The sequence below is a fragment of the Homo sapiens genome, chromosome 16, assembly GCF_000001405.40.
Source record: "Homo sapiens chromosome 16, GRCh38.p14 Primary Assembly".
NCBI classification, from domain to species: domain Eukaryota; kingdom Metazoa; phylum Chordata; class Mammalia; order Primates; family Hominidae; genus Homo; species Homo sapiens.
The window spans coordinates 70,937,861-70,956,471 of record NC_000016.10 but is presented as its reverse complement, the minus strand read 5'-3'; the positions used below and the strand labels follow the sequence as shown (position 1 = coordinate 70,956,471).

The 18,611-nt window shown below is 46.3% G+C and overlaps 1 protein-coding gene across 1 annotated transcript in view; it reads left to right on the top strand.

Annotated features, from left to right (window-relative positions):
- The window catches only part of HYDIN (HYDIN axonemal central pair apparatus protein), a 428,639-nt gene that overhangs the window by 274,251 nt on the left and 135,777 nt on the right, over positions 1 to 18,611 (top strand). Inside the window, exons 40-44 of the mRNA NM_001270974.2 lie at positions 924 to 1,097; positions 3,837 to 4,051; positions 12,523 to 12,660; positions 14,653 to 14,836; positions 17,717 to 17,858. Of these exons, the coding sequence (NP_001257903.1) occupies positions 924 to 1,097; positions 3,837 to 4,051; positions 12,523 to 12,660; positions 14,653 to 14,836; positions 17,717 to 17,858 (853 nt within the window). The remainder of the gene's footprint in view (positions 1 to 923; positions 1,098 to 3,836; positions 4,052 to 12,522; positions 12,661 to 14,652; positions 14,837 to 17,716; positions 17,859 to 18,611) is intronic.

Genomic DNA, 18,611 nt, shown 5'->3' with positions numbered 1-18,611 from the left:
TACCCTAAAAGGTAACATATTTGCAGGTGGAAATCTTTGGAGGAGCCATTATTCAGCCTACCACATCACCTATTTCTTTTTTTATAAGAAATACAGTTACATGTGTACTTAGCGACCATAGGCTAACGGTACTATCCCTGAATGAGTGGATGATGGATTTTTTTTCTTTTCTCTTGTCTGTTATATCTGAATTGTCTGCTTTTTTTTTTTTTTGTAATGAAAGTACCTTGAAATGAGAAAAGAAATCAACACAAGTTATTCTTTAAAATAAAAAGTTTTCCTATTAGAATCAGAGACAGGAGGAACTACAAAGTATTTTAAAGATCATCTGATAGAACCTGTTTCTTAAACAGACCCTGTGCAGTGGCTGACACCTGTAATCCCAGCACTTTGGGAGGCCAAGGCAGGTGGATCATTTGAAGTTAGGAGTTCGAGACCAGCCTGGCCAACATGGTGAAACCCCATCTCTACTAAAAATACAAAAAATTAACCAGATATGGTGGTGGGTGCCTGTAATCCCAGCTACTTGGGAGGCTGAGGCAGGAGAATCACTTGAAACCAGGAGGCAGAGGTTACGGTGAGCTGAGATCTCGCCACTGCACTCCAGCCTGGGTGACAGAGTGAGACTCCATCTCAAAAAAAAAGAAAAAAAGAATCTGTTTTTTAAACTGAGGGAAAACCCAGCGAGGATGCAGATTGCCACAGCATGCACGCATCAGTGGCAGGGTTAGAATCAGACCCACAGCCCTGACTCCAGGCTGAGGTCTTCCTTCTCTTTGCTGCTAACACCTCCAGCCACATGGGAAGGAGGCAGAGCACTCAGAGAGATCACTTTGCAGGGACCTCTGCTCTTGAGACCTTTTCTCTCTGGGACACTGAGCAAATGAGCACCGTGAAATTCAACCCCCTGGTCTTTTTAATAGGAAAGTCAGCCAATGCCGTTAGCGTGGCCAAGTACTACAACGCAGCCTGCCTGAGCATCGACTCCATTGTGCTGGAAGCTGTGGCCAACAGCAACAACATCCCAGGGATCCGGGCCCGTGAGCTCTGCATCAGGGCTGCCATAGAGCAGTCCGTGAAGGAAGGAGAGGAGGCTGGTAAGAGCCCATTCTCTTGGGTTTTTGTGGTCAAGTCACCAACACCCCCACTGACAACACCCATCTTCTCTGTGCCCCACTGAGCTCTCCTCCCACAGCCTGGTTGAAGTCTGCCCTACAGCATGCTGCCAACTTCATAGCCCAGAGGAGAATTCTCTTCACGAAGCATTCCTGGGTCTCCTGCCCTGCCCAATGCCAGCGTGCTCTTGCCACTGTGGGGACCAGGACAATGAATAAGACACAGCCCACACCTTTGGAAGTCTGACACCTGGTGGGGGAAGCAGACATGCGGTCACTCAGAGCAGAGGAAAATAATTTTGCAACAGAAATACCAGCTTCTTTGAAAGAGCGACTTTGGGATGAATGGGTTCCAACAAGGGTGATGTGGGAAGTTTTCAAGGAAATGGGTTTGAAGAAGCAAGAGAATATTAGTAGGCAAAGATGGGGACAAGGACATTCCAGACCAAAAAAGCAGGGAAACTGGTCATAAATTAGGGGTGGGAAGGCAGGTTGAGGCCAATCATTGTTCACCTTGAATGCCAAGATTAGGAATTTGAGTTTTATGTTCAAGGAAAAGAGCTATTGGGACAGTTTCACACTATGGAAAAATGATCAGAAAATCACAATAGGAAGGTAGCCCTTGACTATCATGTAAAGGAAGCGATAGTGAAGCTGCAGACAAATGGGCCTGGGCCGGCCAACCCGACAGCCAGCTGCATGGTGGAGAATTGAAGGAGTAAGAGGGATTCAAGATGGCCACGCCCAGCTTCCTAGCCACAGAATCCAGGAGAGAGCGATGTCATGTACCTAGATAGGGAACACAGGAGGAAGAAAAAGTTTGCTGGAGAAGAAAATAAATTGGGTTGGGTTTGGGGGAGGGGGGTTGTTTTCTTTCTTTCTTTCTTTTTTTTTTTTTTTTTTTGAGACAAGGTATCTCTCTGTCACCCAAGCTGGAGTACAGTGGCACCATCATAGCTCACTGCAGCCTCCTGGGCTCAAGCGATCCTCCCACATTCGCCTCCAGAGTAGCTGGGATTACAGACATGCACCACCATGCCTGGCTAATTTTTAGGGTCTCGCTATGTTGTCCAGGCTGGTCTCAAACTCCTGGCCTCAAGCAATCCTCCCAAAGTGCTGGGATTACAAGATTGAGCCACTGTGCCTAGCCTGAATTGAGTTTTGGAATCGCATAGTGGGGAGGTCTGGTGTGGCCTTCCTACAAAAAGTTGAGAATTCTGGCTCCATCAGGTTATTTGAGGACCTTCAGGGCAGGCGAGCAGCTGCTTGATGGGAAAATATACTAAACACCAAGCAGAGCGCCTGCTCAGAGGGGAAGCATTCCTATGTCAGTGCCCATGGCATGACGTCATCCCAAGAATGCTTCCAGCCTGCTAGTTGATAAAACTGGCTGGGACTTTCAGGGTTGTCCCCTCCCCTCAATACCTCTGCGTGGGACACTTAGGGAAATGGAAGATTCTTTGCTGGGAAGATAAGAGAAATAGCTCTTTAGTGAGAACCTCTGGCTATGCCCTAATGCTGGTTCTCTTAAATTTTTTATTTCCTTTTCTGTGAAATAGTCTACATTTCATAGTGATCTGTGGAGCCATGTTTATGTCCTGTGCCTAAGGGTGAATTTGAGTTCCTGGTCTGAGAAAATAACATCAAGCTAGAGACACAGCTGGGAGAGTCTTTCTCCATGAAACCACTAGGGTAGGTGAAGCAGCCAGAAAAGCCCAGAATGAGCCAGGAGGAATGTTTGCTGGACGAGGCAGGTTAGGACCATGGGGAACACCTACATTTCAGGAGGGGTCATGGGGAAGCCGGGAAGTAGAGACAGCAGAGCCAGGGCCACAGGGACTGTCAGGGAAGTCAAGGAAAGGGCCCCAGAGCCTTAGGAAAGGGAGAAGCGAGGAGGAGTTTCACGTCCCTCAGAGCCCTGCTGGACAGGGAGCCTTCCTGCTGGCCTAATCTCACAGCCCACTTGTCTAGCTAACCTAATACTGATCTACCTCCTTTATTGTCTGCCCCGACCCCATGTAAGCTCTGGAGGCAGGGGCTTGTGTTAATTTTCCCCACTGTAGTCCCAGCACCTGGAAGAATGCCTGGCATAGTTGACACATAATAAAGATTCATAAAGGATTCATTGAATCAAGAAATGAACAGAATTAGAGACTGCCAGAAGCCCAAATAGAATGAGCCCTGAGTAGAAGGTGGCTGAATTTCCCAGTTGGGAGGTCCCTGGGGTCTTTGGATAGAGCCTTTGCAATGGAGGGGTTAGGCCCTCACATCTCTCCTGCATCTGTTGTCACTGTGGAGTTGGTAGGCTGGAATGAAGTGGTGGCAGTGAACCCGAACCTGCCTGTGCCATACAGTAGCCACTGGCCCTAGGGGCTGCTGAGCACGTGAACCCAGCTGGTCCAAACAGAGGTGTGCGGTGAATGTACAGCACCCATGGGAACCCTGAAGATGTGATATAAAGAAAAGACTTGGAAATAACACAGTAGCAATTTTTATACATTACATGTTAAAATGATCACATTTTGTGTATATTGGGTTAAAATATGTCCCTAAAATTAATTTTTACCTTTTTAATGTGGCAACTAGAAATGTTTAAATTACATACATATGTGGTTCACATTATATGTCTATTGGACAGAACGGACTTCAGAGTGCCATCCCCACTGTCATTTTTTGTGATTCTAAGGTGACTTTTAATAAAAATTCACCCTCTCCTTATAGCCCAGGAGGCAGCTGTGGGTCAAAACGTCATAGGGCAAGGACGACTGAGCACTGACACCTTGGGCAAGTTAGCCTCCGAGATGACTCTGGTGGCCCCAGAAATTAAACCTGGAAAGAGTGTTCGTGGGAGCGTGGTGATCACCAAAAGCAAGGCAGACAGCCATGGCTCCGGGTCACAGAAGCAGCATCACTCACACCAGTCTGAAACACCACAGGTACAAATCAGGGCTCTACCGCAGAAGGGCTGGGATCTTCCTCCTCCCCAGCATCCTGCAGCCAGATCAGTGCTCTTCATCCCTGCAGTGTTCTCGCCAGGCCAGCCTGAGCACTGTCCCTGCGCCCCTCCTTCTGAAAGGGGCATTCACCCAGCTGGTGCTCAGCAAGCATCTTTTATGCTGTAGGCACTGGCAAAGTGCAAATAAAGAAAGCAGAATCCCTGCACTAAGAGTCTGATGAAGGAGATAACCACATTTGCAAACATTTGCAATAAAGTGAAATTAGTTACAAAAGAAGTGTGAAAAGGGAATTAGGCTGAGCCACAGAAAATTGCCAAAATTCAATCCTTTTAGAACTCCATAACAGCAATTTCCTATGGCTCAACCTAAATTCTAAAGGAAGTTAAGGATGAAACCATTAATCTAAGTTGTGGGAGGGCTGCAGGGGGAGTCCTGGAACGTCAGAAAGAAGTTGCAGCATTTGAGCAATGCGCCAAGGAACTTAGCAGTCTCAGCCAACTGGCCGGTGCTGCTGAAGCCAGAGACAGTGGGTGCAGTGAGTAGTGAGTTGTAGGTGGAGAAGTGAAATCAAGTGAGTGTAGGCTTTTATGATGTTTGAAAGTGAAGGGAAAAAAATGAGAGAGTAGTAGAGGGGCAAAGCCAGGGTCAGGAGAGTCCATTCTCAGAAAAGAAGTAGAAGCAGGTCTATAAAGAATGGAACCCCTGGAGAAGTGTCATGTGGCGATCCACTCAAGAGGGAATGAGATCTTGGGAGGTAGTAAGAAGGGCAGAATTCAGCACAATTAAAGGAGAAGAGAACCGGCTTCCTTTGGGGTCAGTAAAGGTAAAAAACAGACACAGCTAAGGGTGGGAGAAGCCAAGTGGAGAATGGAGGTTGGAGAAGGCCTTGTTGAATGGTGCTGTAATGCATGTAGGAGGCATGGTCTTTTGAGGGAAGCAACGAGGAGGCTTGGGCTGCAGAGCATGCTCGAGGGGAGTGGCAGAGCACTGCTTCCAGTATAGAAGCAGAAATTGGTGATGGACAAGGAATAAATAGTTGGGAATGATCATGGCCCAACCAAGACTGGAAACTATAACTTCATAGTTGTGAAGTTTCTCTCTCTCTCTCTCCCTCTCTCCCTCTCTCTCTCTCTCTCTCTCTCTCTCTCTCTGTCCCTTTTCCCTAGAGTCAGGGTCTCACTGTGTCACCCAGGCTGGAGTGCAGTGGCACAGTCTTTGTTCACTGCGGCCTTGAGCTCCCGGGCTTAAGCAATCCTTCCACCCCAGCCTCCCAAGTAGCTGGGACTACAGGTATGTCCCACCATGCCTGGCTAATTTTTTAAATTTTTGTAGGGATGGGATCTCGCTGTGTTGCCCAGGCTGGTCTTGAACTCTTGGCCTCAAGCGATCCTCCTGGCTCTGCCTCTGCCTCCCAAAGAACTAGGATTACAGGCATGAACCACCACACCTGGCAAGATTTCTCTAAGTGGACCTGGCGGCTCCCATTCAGGAGTGGAGAGAGAAGAATGTCATCATTGAGGAGAGGGGGTGTGCTCTTATAACGAGGGGCAAGAGAGCTGAGGGTGCCATCAGTATGGGAAGCCCAGCCTCAGTAGAGAAGGAATTAAGAAGAGAACATAGAATGGGAGAAACAGGAAGGGTTAAGGGTGGATCTCGTTATAGCCTGAGAGTGCTATAGGGACAGTGGGGGAGGTGGATGGAGCAGAAGTGAAAGTACTGGTAGGAGAGGAGGCCCATCCACTGGGAAGAGCAGATGGATGGAGAAGAGTTGTAGGTCTTCATGGGAAATGAGACCTGTGTATTGGATAGAGCAGGTGGGTGGAATAAAGATGTAGGTCCTTAGGCCGGGTGCAGTGGCTTACACCTGTAATCCCAGCACTTCGGGAGGCTGAGGTGGGTGGATCACTTTAGGCCAGGAGTTCAAGGCCAGCCTGGCCAACGTGATGAAACCCCGTCTCTACTAAAAATAAAAAATAAAAAAATTAGCTGGGCTTAGTGGTGCACACCTGTAATCCCAGCTTCTCAAGAGGCTGAAGCACGAGAATCACTTGAACCCAGAAGGTGGAGGTTGCAGTGAGCCAAGATGGCACCACTGCACTCCAGCCTAGGCAACAGAGTAAGACTCCATCTCAAAAAAAGTACATAAAAAATAAAATTAATGATGTAGGTTCTTGTAGGAGAGGAGGCCCACATGTTAGATCAGGTAAGAGGATGGAGCAGAGGCAAAGGTCTTCAAGGGAGAGGAGACCTGCAGGTTGGATGGAACAGCCCACAGGGCTGAACTTGTGCCAGGTGATATCTGATTGTCACTTCAGTCTTACGTTGTTCTGACACCGTGAAAACAGAAACCATTGATTCATTTTCTTCTGGAGCACTATCCTTTTCACCCTCTTTTCCAGGATCCAGTATAGTGTTCTTTACCCAAACGTTTATGGATGAACTAAAACTTATTTCTCTGTTACCATATAGGGTGTTATCAAAACTCATTTCCTTGGGTTTTGTTCTGTCCATCTGGACAGGGAAATAAAGCTTTTTAGAATTCTTCAAAGGCAGTAGAACATCCCAATTCTGACTCCAAACTCCTTTCAGTAAGGTAACCTACAGATCACAGTAGAAATCAGAGCTCATAGACCCCATATGTGGCTGCCTGCACTGCCCCAGTGTGACAAGACTCAAATGATCTGGACAACAGTGTCCCCCTGTGAAAGCACTTACCCAGGGAGATGGCGATTGGTCTTCTTGAAGCTCTCATAAAGCATGAGTTTTCCAATGACTGATATTTCAGTCATGTTGCAAATGGGAAAAAATGTGTAAGTATATTACATAATGAAGATGTGGCCCATAAGCTCATTTATTTATAAATCACCTCTATCCAGGAAAGCACCAGTTAGAAATCCTGATCTTTTGGGTTTTTTTGTTTCTTGTTTTTGTTTTTTTTATTATTATACTTTAAGTTTTAGGGTACATGTGCACAATGTGCAGGTTAGTTACATATGTATACATGTGACATGCTGGTGTGCTGCACCCACTAACTCGTCCTCTAACATTAGGTATATCTCCCAGTGCTATCCCTCCCCCCTCCCCCCACCCCACAACAGTCCCCAGAGTGTGATGTTCCCCTTCCTGTGTCCATGTGTTTTCATTGTTCAATTCCCACCTATGAGTGAGAATATGCGGTGTTTGTTTTTTTGTTCTTGCGATAGTTTACTGAGAATGATGATTTCCAATTTCATCCATGTCCCTACAAAGGACATGAGCTCATCATTTTTTATGGCTGCATAGTATTCCATGGTGTCTATGTGCCACATTTTCTTAATCTAGTCTATCATTGTTGGACATTTGGGTTGGTTCCAAGTCTTTGCTATTGTGAGTAGTGCCGCAATAAACATACATGTGCATGTGTCTTTATAGCAGCATGATTTATAGTCCTTTGGGTATATACCCAGTAATGGGATGGCTGGGTCAAATGGTATTTCTAGTTCTAGATCCCTGAGGAATCGCCACACTGACTTCCACAATGGTTGAACTAGTTTACAGTCCCACCAACAGTGTAAAAGTGTTCCTATTTCTCCACATCCTCTCCAGCACCTGTTGTTTCCTGACTTTTTAATGATTGCCATTCTAACTGGTGTGAGATGATATCTCATTGTGGTTTTGATTTGCATTCCTCTGATGGCCAGTGATGGTGAGCATTTTTTCATGTGTTTTTTGGCTGCATAAATGTCTTCTTTTGAGAAGTGTCTGTTCATGTCCTTTGCCCACTTTTTGATGGGGTTGTTTGTTTTTTTCTTGTAAATTTGTTTGAGTTCATTATAGATTCTGAATATTAGCCCTTTGTCAGATGAGTAGGTTGCAAAAATTTTCTCCCATTTTGTAGGTTGCCTGTTCACTCTGATGGTAGTTTCTTTTGCTGTGCAGAAGCTCTTTAGTTTAATTAGATCCCATTTGTCAATTTTGGCTTTTGTTGCCATTGCTTTTGGTGTTTTAGATATGAAGTCCTTGCCCATGCCTATGTCCTGAATGGTAATGCCTAGGTTTTTTTCTAGGGTTGTTATGGTTTTAGGACTAACATTGAAGTCTTTAATCCATCTTGAATTGATTTTTGTATAAGGTGTAAGGAAGGGATCCAGTTTCAGCTTTCTACATATGGCTAGCCAGTTTTCCCAGCACCATTTATTAAATAGGGAATCCTTTCCCCATTGCTTGTTTTTCTCAGGTTTGTCAAAGATCAGATAGTTGTAGATATGCGGTGTTATTTCTGAGGGCTCTGTTCTGTTCCATTGATCTATATCTCTGTTTTGGTACCAGTACCATGCTGTTTTGGTTACTGTAGCCTTGTAGTATAGTTTGAAGTCAGGTAGCATGATGCCTCCAGCTTTGTTCTTTTGGCTTAGGATTGCCTTGGCGATGCGGGCTCTTTTTTGGTTCCATATGAACTTTAAAGTAGTTTTTTCCAATTCTGTGAAGAAAGTCATTGGTAGCTTGATGGGGATGGCATTGAATCTATAAATTACCTTGGGCAGTATGGCCATTTTCACGATATTGATTCTTCCTACCCATGAGCATGGAATGTTCTTCCATTTGTTTGTATCCTCTTTAATTTCCTTGAGCAGTGATTTGTAGTTCTCCTTGAAGAGGTCCTTCACGTCCCTTGTAAGGTGGATTCCTAGGTATTTTATTCTCTTTGAAGCAATTGTGAATGGGAGTTCACTCATGGTTTGGCTCTCTGTTTGTCTGTTATTGGTGTATAAGAATGCTACCAGAGGTACAAAGAGGAACTGGTACCATTCCTTCTGAAACTATTCCAATCAATAGAAAAAGAGGGAATCCTCCCTAACTCATTTTATGAGGCCAGCATCATCCTGATACCAAAGCCGGGCAGAGACACAACCAAAAAAGAGAATTTTAGACCAATATCCTTGATGAACATTGATGCAAAAATCCTCAATAAAATACTGGCAAACCGAATCCAGCAGCACATCAGAAAGCTTATCCACCATGATCAAGTGGGCTTCATCCCTGGGATGCAAGGCTGGTTCAATATACGCAAATCAGTAAATGTAATACAGCATATAAACAGAACCAAAGACAAAAACCACATGATTATCTCAATAGATGCAGAAAAGGCCTTTGACAAAATTCAACAACCCTTCATGCTAAAAACTCTCAATAAATTAGGTATTGATGGGACGTATCTCAAAATAATAAGAGCTATCTATGACAAACCCACAGCCAATATCATACTGAATGGGCAAAAACTGGAAGCATTCCCTTTGAAAACTGGCACAAGACAGGGATGCCCTCTCTCACCACTCCTATTCAACATAGTGTTGGAAGTTCTGGCCAGGGCAATTAGGCAGGAGAAGGAAATAAAGGGTATTCAATTGGGAAAAGAGGAAGTCAAATTGTCCCTGTTTGTAGACGACATGATTGTATATCTAGAAAACCCCATTGTCTCAGCCCAAAATCTCCTTAAGCTGATAAGCAACTTCAGCAAAGTCTCAGGATACAAAATCAATGTACAAAAATCACAATCCTGATCTTTTGAATGATATTTAATCCAACACTCTTGCTTCTCAATTTCATGGCCTCCTCAGCTACTTACCTCCCTGACCACATCCTAGACATTGTTCACCGCTACCCATAAACTCCAAGATCTCTCTATCACAATCCTGCTTTCCCACAGCCATCTTCTCACTTTACAGATGACTAACTCTGGTAAGCACCTGGCCCCATCGAAACCTCCATTCCTCATCCTCACTACCTAGCACCCACCTCGTGCCCTCCCTATCCAGTCTGGATGCCATGGTCTGCCACCATAGCACCCCCTTGCAACTTGCCCTTCACCACACTCTCAAGCAAAGCTTCAACCCTGGCAAACCTAATCCTCCCCCTACTCCATGCAGACCAGCTGAACATAGCTGGGGAAGACTCTCACCTCTCCTGAAGGATCTTAATTTAAATTTAAGACCACAGGTCTCCAATGGGCCCTTTGGTCTGGCTCAGCTCTGCATCTATTCAAGATGACTGCTTTATTGCTCTCATCACTCTCCTAGCCTCCAAAATATTTTCCTCTTCCTCATTCTCAGCCGATGATCTCTATTCTGATTTCACCAAGAAAGCTGCAGCAATCAGAAGACAATGACCTCATCTTCCGGCCACCAAGTCTTCCAGCAGCCTCCATCCACACACAGGGCTGTGCCTTCTCGACAGCTGAGTGTCTGCCCTGCCTTCACCCAGGGCTGATCCCTGCACATGGGCACCCAGCCCCACCCCTTCTCTTATCCAATGGCTAAATTCCTGCAGTTGTCCCCTCTCTCCCACTTTCCCCCTACTCTACTTCTGTCAGCATCTATGCATGCTGTATTATTATTCGCATCATTAAAAATGCTTTCCCGTGACCCCACATCCCCCTCCGCCTATTACCTCCTCTCTCAGCTCCCCTCCTCTGCTGTTCCTCCAAAGAATTGCCGCATTGCCTGCCTCCTCGTCCTCACACCCACCCCCATCCTCTGTTTCACTGCTTCCAGTGGGGCCTTTGTCCCCACCATTCCACGGCTGCTCTTTCTTCTCAAGGTCCTTGGCAGTCTTCACCTGGACAAATACAGAGGTCAGTTTTCTGTCTTCATCTCACATGACTTCTTGGCAGCTGATCACCCCCTCCTCTTGGAAACGCTTTCTTCGTGTGGCTTTCAGACACCACACTCCTCCACCTTCCCTTCTACCTCATTAGCAACTCCTTCCTCTACTTCCCCAGCTTCTCAATCTCCAAATTCCTAGTCATTGGAGTAGCCTGGGACAAAGTCTTCTACTACTCTCCTTTTTGTTTCCTACATTGTCTTTGCAGGCGATCTCACTCAGTTGCATTACTTAAATATTTAAATACCTTTAACATGCTTATGACTCTCGAAATTCTATTGCCAGCTCTAATTTCTTCCCGAGTGCAGGTTCATGTATCCTTTCAATCTCTCTCGAAGGGCTTAGAGGCATCTCAAAATGTTTATATCCAAAAAGTGATTCTTGCTTCCACTGCTCCCCAAAAATTGTTCTTCTCCCAGTCTTTCCTTTCTTAGTAAATAATTTCACCATTTTCCAGGTTGCTAAGGTCAAAACTCAAAGAATCATGTTTTGGTGACTCTTTATGTTCCATCCGAAGTCCTACTGGCCCTACTTCCAAAACATATCCTGTATGAGCCACTTCTCGCCACCACCATTTTCGTCTCAGTCACCACCACCATCCTCATCCCTGTTGCCATCATCTCCTGCCCTGACCACAGTGACATCTTCCTGTTTCCACTCATGTCACCTCATGTGACGAGTAGGGTGGTCTTTTAAAAATAAAAATCAGGCTGGGTGCAATGGCTCATGCCTGTAATCCCAGCACTTTGGGAGGCCGAGGCAGGCAGATCACCTGAGGTCAGGAGTTCGAGACCAGCCTAGCCAACATGGCGAAACCCTGTCTCTACTAAAAATACAAAAATTAACAAGGCATGGTGGTGCACACCTGTAATTCCAGCTACTTGGGAGACTGAGGCAGGAGAATCACTTAAACCCGAGAGGCGGAGGTTGCAGTGAGCCAAGATGGCACCATTGCACTCCAGCCTGGGCAACAGAGTGAGACTCCATCTCAAAAATATAATAAAATAAATATAAATATAAATCAGATTATTTGTCTGCTGAAACACACCAACTTCCCATAATACTTGGAATAAAATACAAATTGCTGACCATGGGCTACAAGGCCCTGCGTATTCTGGTCCTGGCGGTGTGGTGTCTTTAACCTTCAGCCTGACTGTCTTCCCCATTGCTCACTCAGTTCCAGCCCCACTGGGCTCCATGTGCCCCCGAGATTCCCCGAGCACACTTGCGTTGAAAGAGCTTGCTGTCCACTCCCAGAAAGGCTCTGCTCCCAAGATCTTGTCTCATTCTTTGACGTAACCCGGGTAACATGAGCATCCTCTCTACATAGTCTTTCCCCAGCCCTGTTATGATTCCTTATTCCCTTACCTGGTTATTTCCTTCCTAGCACTCATCACTTTCTGAAATTGTATTGATTTGTGAAGGAAGGTGGCCTTTTCTCTCTCTTCCATTGGAATGCAATGGTGGATTGCATTGGAATGCCTGGGGGCAGCGCCATTGTTTGTTGTTATATCCCTAGTACCTAAGCATGCCTGGTGCAAGATAGGTGCTCAGTGAATAATTATCGAATGAATGAAAAGCTGCGTGCAGTTCAGTACACAAACAACGTACCTTCCATGCTATTCCCACTTGAAACTTACAGTGGTTCTTTAAGGAAGACAGGGTCCTTCCATTTTATAATGCAGTTCCCATTGTACAGATGAGGAAATGACAGATTATGTGATCTTCCCAAGGTCCTGTGGCTGGTAAGTGTAGGAGTTGTTGAGATACAAGGCCAGATTCTGACTCCTGATCCTTCTCCCACTCAACAGATTTCCTCCAGCCCTCTCCCCCCGGGGCCCATCCACCGCTGGCTCAGTGTTAGTCCCAGTGTCGGAGGCGAGACCGGGCTGATGAGCTGTGTGCTCCCGGATGAACTTCTCGTGCAGATCCTGGCAGAGCGGATACAGGTGGGTCCATGCCACCTGCACAGAGCTGCAGGGCTTGGCATTCACGCACCATCCCCACACCCTGGACAGAGGTTCTGGGCCATCAGCCACCCACGGCAGCTCGGCAGCCCGGAAGGCAGTCGTTTGCTTGTCTTTTTGACAGCTCTTGTCGACCCCTGACCCTGGCCCGGTCTACAGCCTGAAGCCATTCACCTTCTTCAAGGACCAGAGAGCAGAAGACTACACAAAAGTTTTTTTAATGACCAGAAAGAGAGTGATGTTGTTAAAAATTACAATGTGGAGCCATTCTAAAAGTTAGAATTTGGAGCTATGTTAATTGCTTCAAAAACCCATTTTCAATGTTATTAAGTGAAAAAGAAGTAACTAGGAAATACTGGTTAAAACATAATAACATTCTATATAAATATTTAGAAATGTATACTACACACATAGTAAAAACTTTTAAAATACATGTTAACCATTGTTATCTTTGGGTAGCAGGATTATAGAATTTTAGTCTTCTTTATACATTTCTGAATTATTTTACAATGACATATTGCTTTTAAAGTCAGAAAAACAGTAACACTCTTTCTAATTTTTAATTTTTTTTCCATAAGAATTCTACAGTTAAAGACAAGAAAATAAGATCAGCAGGATTGAGGAGGGTATCACTTAAGCCTGTTTCTGCTCATGGTTTGCAGACACAGCTACATTGCTTACCAGGTCCTGGAGCTGGGTGTTTGCTTTGTGTTCTCAACTAGGGCCACAATATTAATTGCAGATTTAAATACAACAAAATTAACTTGACGTTCCCAGAAGAGGAGGAATATCATCACAAGAAAGTTTTTATGTTAAGATTTGCACTGCTACTACATTAAAGGTACATCACTTTCAACTGATTTGAACAAGGTGTTCCCATAAGTGTGCCAATGTTTTAGATACCCAGAGTAAAGGCTGAGAAACACTGGTAAGGCCCCAAAGTAAGCCAGTGGAGCTGTGCTACTCAAAGTGCTGGTCTCTGATGACACGTGGAGCTTACAGGGCTTCTTTCATCAACAAAGTCTTGCTACAAAGTTTAGCTGCAGAGAAGGAATGATGTGGCCACGGTACCTGTTCAGTTGCCAGCTGAACCAAATAGTGTGTTTAGTGATACAGGTCATTTACATTCTGACACAAGCTTCTTGTCTCATCAAAAACCTAACGCTCATTCACTGGTGGCCAGTCTATGGGCTACACTTTGAGTAACACTGAGTAAGGCAGAGGCTGTTCTTCAATGGTTACTGTTACCAAAATCATTACGCTCCAAGGCAGTAAGACTAATAAGAAAAATACAAAAGGCCCAGCTGCTCCCCCTGCTGCCTGTGACTCTGTGCTTGGGAGCATCTTTCCCTTTCCATCTCATTTTTGTGTACCTCATGGATCTTCCCAGATCGGCCCTTTAACATTTTTGTTTGTTCATTTATTTCTACAGACAGAATAAACCCTTATTATTGTAATAAAGACCATCTGGCTGGGCGCAGTGTCTCATGCCTGTAATTCCAGCACTTTGGGAGGCCGAGGCAGGTGGATCACCTGAGGTCAGGAGTTCGAGACTAATCTGGTCAACATGGTGAAACCCTGTCTCTACTAAAAATACAAAAATTAGCCGGGCCTGGTGGTGGGCACCTGTAATCCCAGCTACTTGGGAGGCTGAGGCAGGAGAATCACCTGAACCCGGGAGACAGAGGTTGCAGTGAGCCGAGATTGCACCACTGCACTCCAGCCTGGGCGCTGGAGTGACCGAGGGAGACTCTGTCTCAAAAAAAAAAAAAAAAAAAAAAAGACTGGCTGATTAAACATTTTTATTCTTTTCTTTTATTTTATGACAGCACCTTGGATTTAGCAAGCAGAAAGGCATGGTGTTTGCATTGGGGCCCAGTAGGTCTGCAGAACCCTTTGCAGCCCCAGTAAAAGCATAAACAGAACAAATGAGGTTGTGGCCATAGTAACTGTCTTTGCTCTCTCTGGTTTCAGCTGAGTGACTGCTACCGAGGAGTGGTGTTTGATGGCCTCGACACTCTCTTTGCTCAGAATGCTGCAGCCGCCCTCCTCTGCCTGCTGAAGGCCATTGGCAGCCGGGAGCATATATACATTCTCAACATGGCCCAGGATTACGCAGCCATGAAGGCCCAGGAGAAAGCCAAAAAGGAGCAAGAAGGCAAGGCCTCCTACCTTTCCATTGGGCTTAAGTGAAACTTTGACATTTGCTATTCCGTTGGCGCCTCACCTCTGCCCTGTAAGGTGGCCAGGAGTTGTATTTCTGCTTTGCTAGGAGGGAACTGGGACGCGAGTGGCCGGCTGGGAAGTTCTATGATGAACGCTTTGCTGACAGCAGGTGCATTCCTGCTTCCCTCCCATCACACTGTACCCCTCCATCCTTTCTGCAATTACAGCCATTACGGGTCCCATCCTGACTCAGGCAACTGATTTCCTTGTTGGTTTTGTTTAAGCCAACTGTGCATTTCTCATAAAACTCACGGTGCTAATACATTTTCCAAAACATTTACACCTTAGCCTGCTGCACACCAGGCACCGTAGCAGATATTTTGTATACTTTGGGACATTTAATCCTCACAATTACCCTGTGAATCTTGTCCCCATTTTACACTAAAGGAGAATGTAGCTCAGAGATAGCAAAAGTCTTGTGCCAAATCACATTGCCAATTAGTAGGAGAACCGGGTGCATGTAATTCTAAACCCTTTGCTTTTCCTATCCTTATGCCAATGGCCTGAGAAAAATTTTAATAACTGAAAGGTTTGATTGAAAGATAGGTACACACACACACAAGTAATGTTAGCTTAAGTTCCCAATGTAGTCAGAAGCAGCCCCAGCAAATCTTGGCCCCCCAGGGCAGGGGTTGAAGGACAGAGGCTGGTGGCGCTGTCTACGGGAGTCAGAGCCCCACCTCCCAGGAGCTTCGGCTCCAGCCACACGACTGCCCTTCCTCACTCCGGCTTACCGCTCCCTTCTAACACTATCTAGTCAAATCATAATGCTTTTCCAATTAAGGAAATACTTACAAACACTGGGCTGTCGAAGTCCTTGAACAGAACTCAAAGTCAGCTTCTTTATAGTCTCATCCTGAGAAAAATCTGGAGCAGTGACCAGGCATCCCTCAGCAGTCATCCAGCCTCCAGCTGCCTAGTTTTCCAGAAAGCTCATTTCTCCATACTGATCCACTTGAAAATAATTACCACTTCTCCTTTTCCCACTTATCTTCAGAATGAAATTTCTCCCAGTTCAACTGTGGGCTCCTCTCCCCTAAATCATCTAAATTGAAATGTCCTAAGATGGTATACGGTCACACTATTATTACACTAAAATCTCATGTTTGTCGAACATCTATGAACATGCCAGGCACTGGGGAAAGCACTTTACATGATCGCTTATTTAATCTCTACAACGGCCGTATGTTATTATTCTTATCTGTGATTATCTCTTGATAAGTGGCCGGGAAGGAGCTCAAATGCAGGTGTCTGAGTCCACAGCTCAAACTTGCGAGGATGACGGTGAGAATGCTGTGCTAGGGAGGTGTGAGGAAGGAGCTGGTGCCTTTGTCCTAAGTGTGAATCACATGCCTAGACCTGGAATCCGTAGGGCAGGGCAGGGAATTTCCCTTGGTGTGCAAATGGCCCTGTCACCATGAACCCGTTAGTGGCATATGCTCATAATGAGTCAAGTCAGTGGGTGGTATATGAGTCTTCTATCATTGCTGTGACAAATGACCACTGTCTTAGTCTTTTCAGACTGCCATAACAAAATTCCATAGATTGGGTCGCTTATCAACAACAGACATTTATTTCTCACAGTTCTGGAGGCTGGCAAGTCCAAGATCAAGGTGCCAACAGAAACAGTGTCACCTTCTGGTCACAGAAAGCATCTTCTCACTAAGTCCTGAAACAAGCTCCCTCAGGCCTCTTATAAGGACACTAATCCCAGCCATGAGGACTCTATCCTTGTGACCTAGTCACCTCCCTAAGGCCCTTCTTAATACCATCCCCTTGGGGAATTCAGTTTCAACATAGGAATTTCGAGGGGGCACAAACATTTACACCATAGCAACCACAAACTTGGTTACTTAACACAACATAGAAATGTATTGTCTTACACTTCCGGGGTCAGAAGTCCTAACATCTTTCCCTGCCACTTATTAAGGGATAATCACAGATAAGAATGATAACTCCTCCCTCATAGGGCTGTTGTGGAGATTAAATAAGCAATCATGTAAAGTGCCTTCCCCAGTGCCTGGCATGTTCATACATGTTAACAAACATGAGATTTTAATGTAATAGTAGTATGACAGTATGCTACCTTAGGACATTTCAAATGCAGATGATTTAGGGGAGAAGAGCCCACAATTTAACCAGGAGAAATTTCATTCCAAAGATAATGGGGAAAATGAGAAGTGGTAATTATTTTCAAGTGGATCATTATGGAGAAATAAACTTTCTGGAAAACGAGGCAGCTGGAGGCTTGATGACTGCTGAGGGATGCCTGGTCATTGCTCCGGACTTTTCTCAGCAGGGCCACGTTCCTTTTTTGGCTGTTAGGTAGCCCCTTTTTCTTGTCTTTTCTGGCTTCTAGAGGCCTTCTGCACTCCTTGGCTCCTGGCCCCTTCCTTGCAGCCCTCTGACCCCTGCTCCTACTATCACATCATCACCATCTCTGACTGACTCTCCTGCATCCCTCGAAAGGACCCTTATAATTAGACTGGGCCCCCCAAAATAATCTGCCCACCTCAAGATCCTTAAATTTAATCACATCTGCAGAGTCCCTCTGCTATGGAAGACAACACAGTCACAGGTTCTGAGTAATCTGATATGGGCATCTTTGGGGGCCACTGTTCAGCCACCTGCAGACAGAGCCCAAATGTGGAAGTGCATGGATGAAGGGACCCCCCCACCCCTGCAATCAGGGATGAGGCAGACCAGGCGCCGTACCAGCTGCCCCACACTAAGACCCTACTCCGCCTGCTTAGGCTGCTAGCGAGACTGAGAAGGACTTTTCCTCACCTTCCCGTCTCTGTTCCCCTCACAGAACGCAAGCACAAGGGAGCTCTTGAGAAAGAGAAGGAGCGTCTCCAAAACATGGATGAGGAAGAATATGATGCCCTGACTGAGGAGGAGAAACTCACATTCGATCGGGGGATTCAGCAGGCGCTCCGCGAGCGGAAGAAGAGGTCAGGGCCAAGGGCTGGCCAGAGCAGAAGCCATTCCCCCGGGACCGTCCCCACAGAGTGACCAGGACCGGGGTGTGAGCCCAAGCCATCTTCCAGGCAGGCAGCAGGAGCTGCAGAAGGCCCTGGAAGGTGACCTGCAAGGAGCAGAAAGATGCATCCCGCCCATCAAGGGTGCTGGCTGCTGCACCATTCAGGGTTTCTCCCACTCTCCTTATTTCTCACTGGCGGGCATTTGGGACCAGGCTGTAATGTCATGGGTGGCCCTGGAAGAGGGGCCACTGGCCTCTGTGCTGCCCTGGGGCCCCTGCTGGCCCCCCCTGACCAGCACCCCCGCGTGTGGCTTATCAGCCTCTGTGCTCACTGCCTCGGTGCTTCAATGTCCACAGCTGGTGATCCAGGGTCCACTCTATTGACCTGGGCATAGTGACTGCTCCCCAAATCTCAGCCCTTCCTCCCCCTGCCTGGGTCCCCTTCTTGGCCTTGGGCGGTGCTGCCCATCCCCTGAGGTCTAGCTGCCATGGGATCCTCAGCCTGGGCAGATCCTCAATCCTGGGACTGTGGGCAGACTCACAAGCCAGCACCCTCAGCCACTTTCTCTGCCCCTCCCTGGGAACCACACAGAAACTACTCGATCCCCCCATGCCTCCTAGTGCCCAGGATACTTAGGACTGCCACCTCGGGCTATCTCAGAGGGATGGGAACAGTGGGACATGTGTCCTTTCTGCCCTCAGATCTTCAAAGATTGCAGGGATG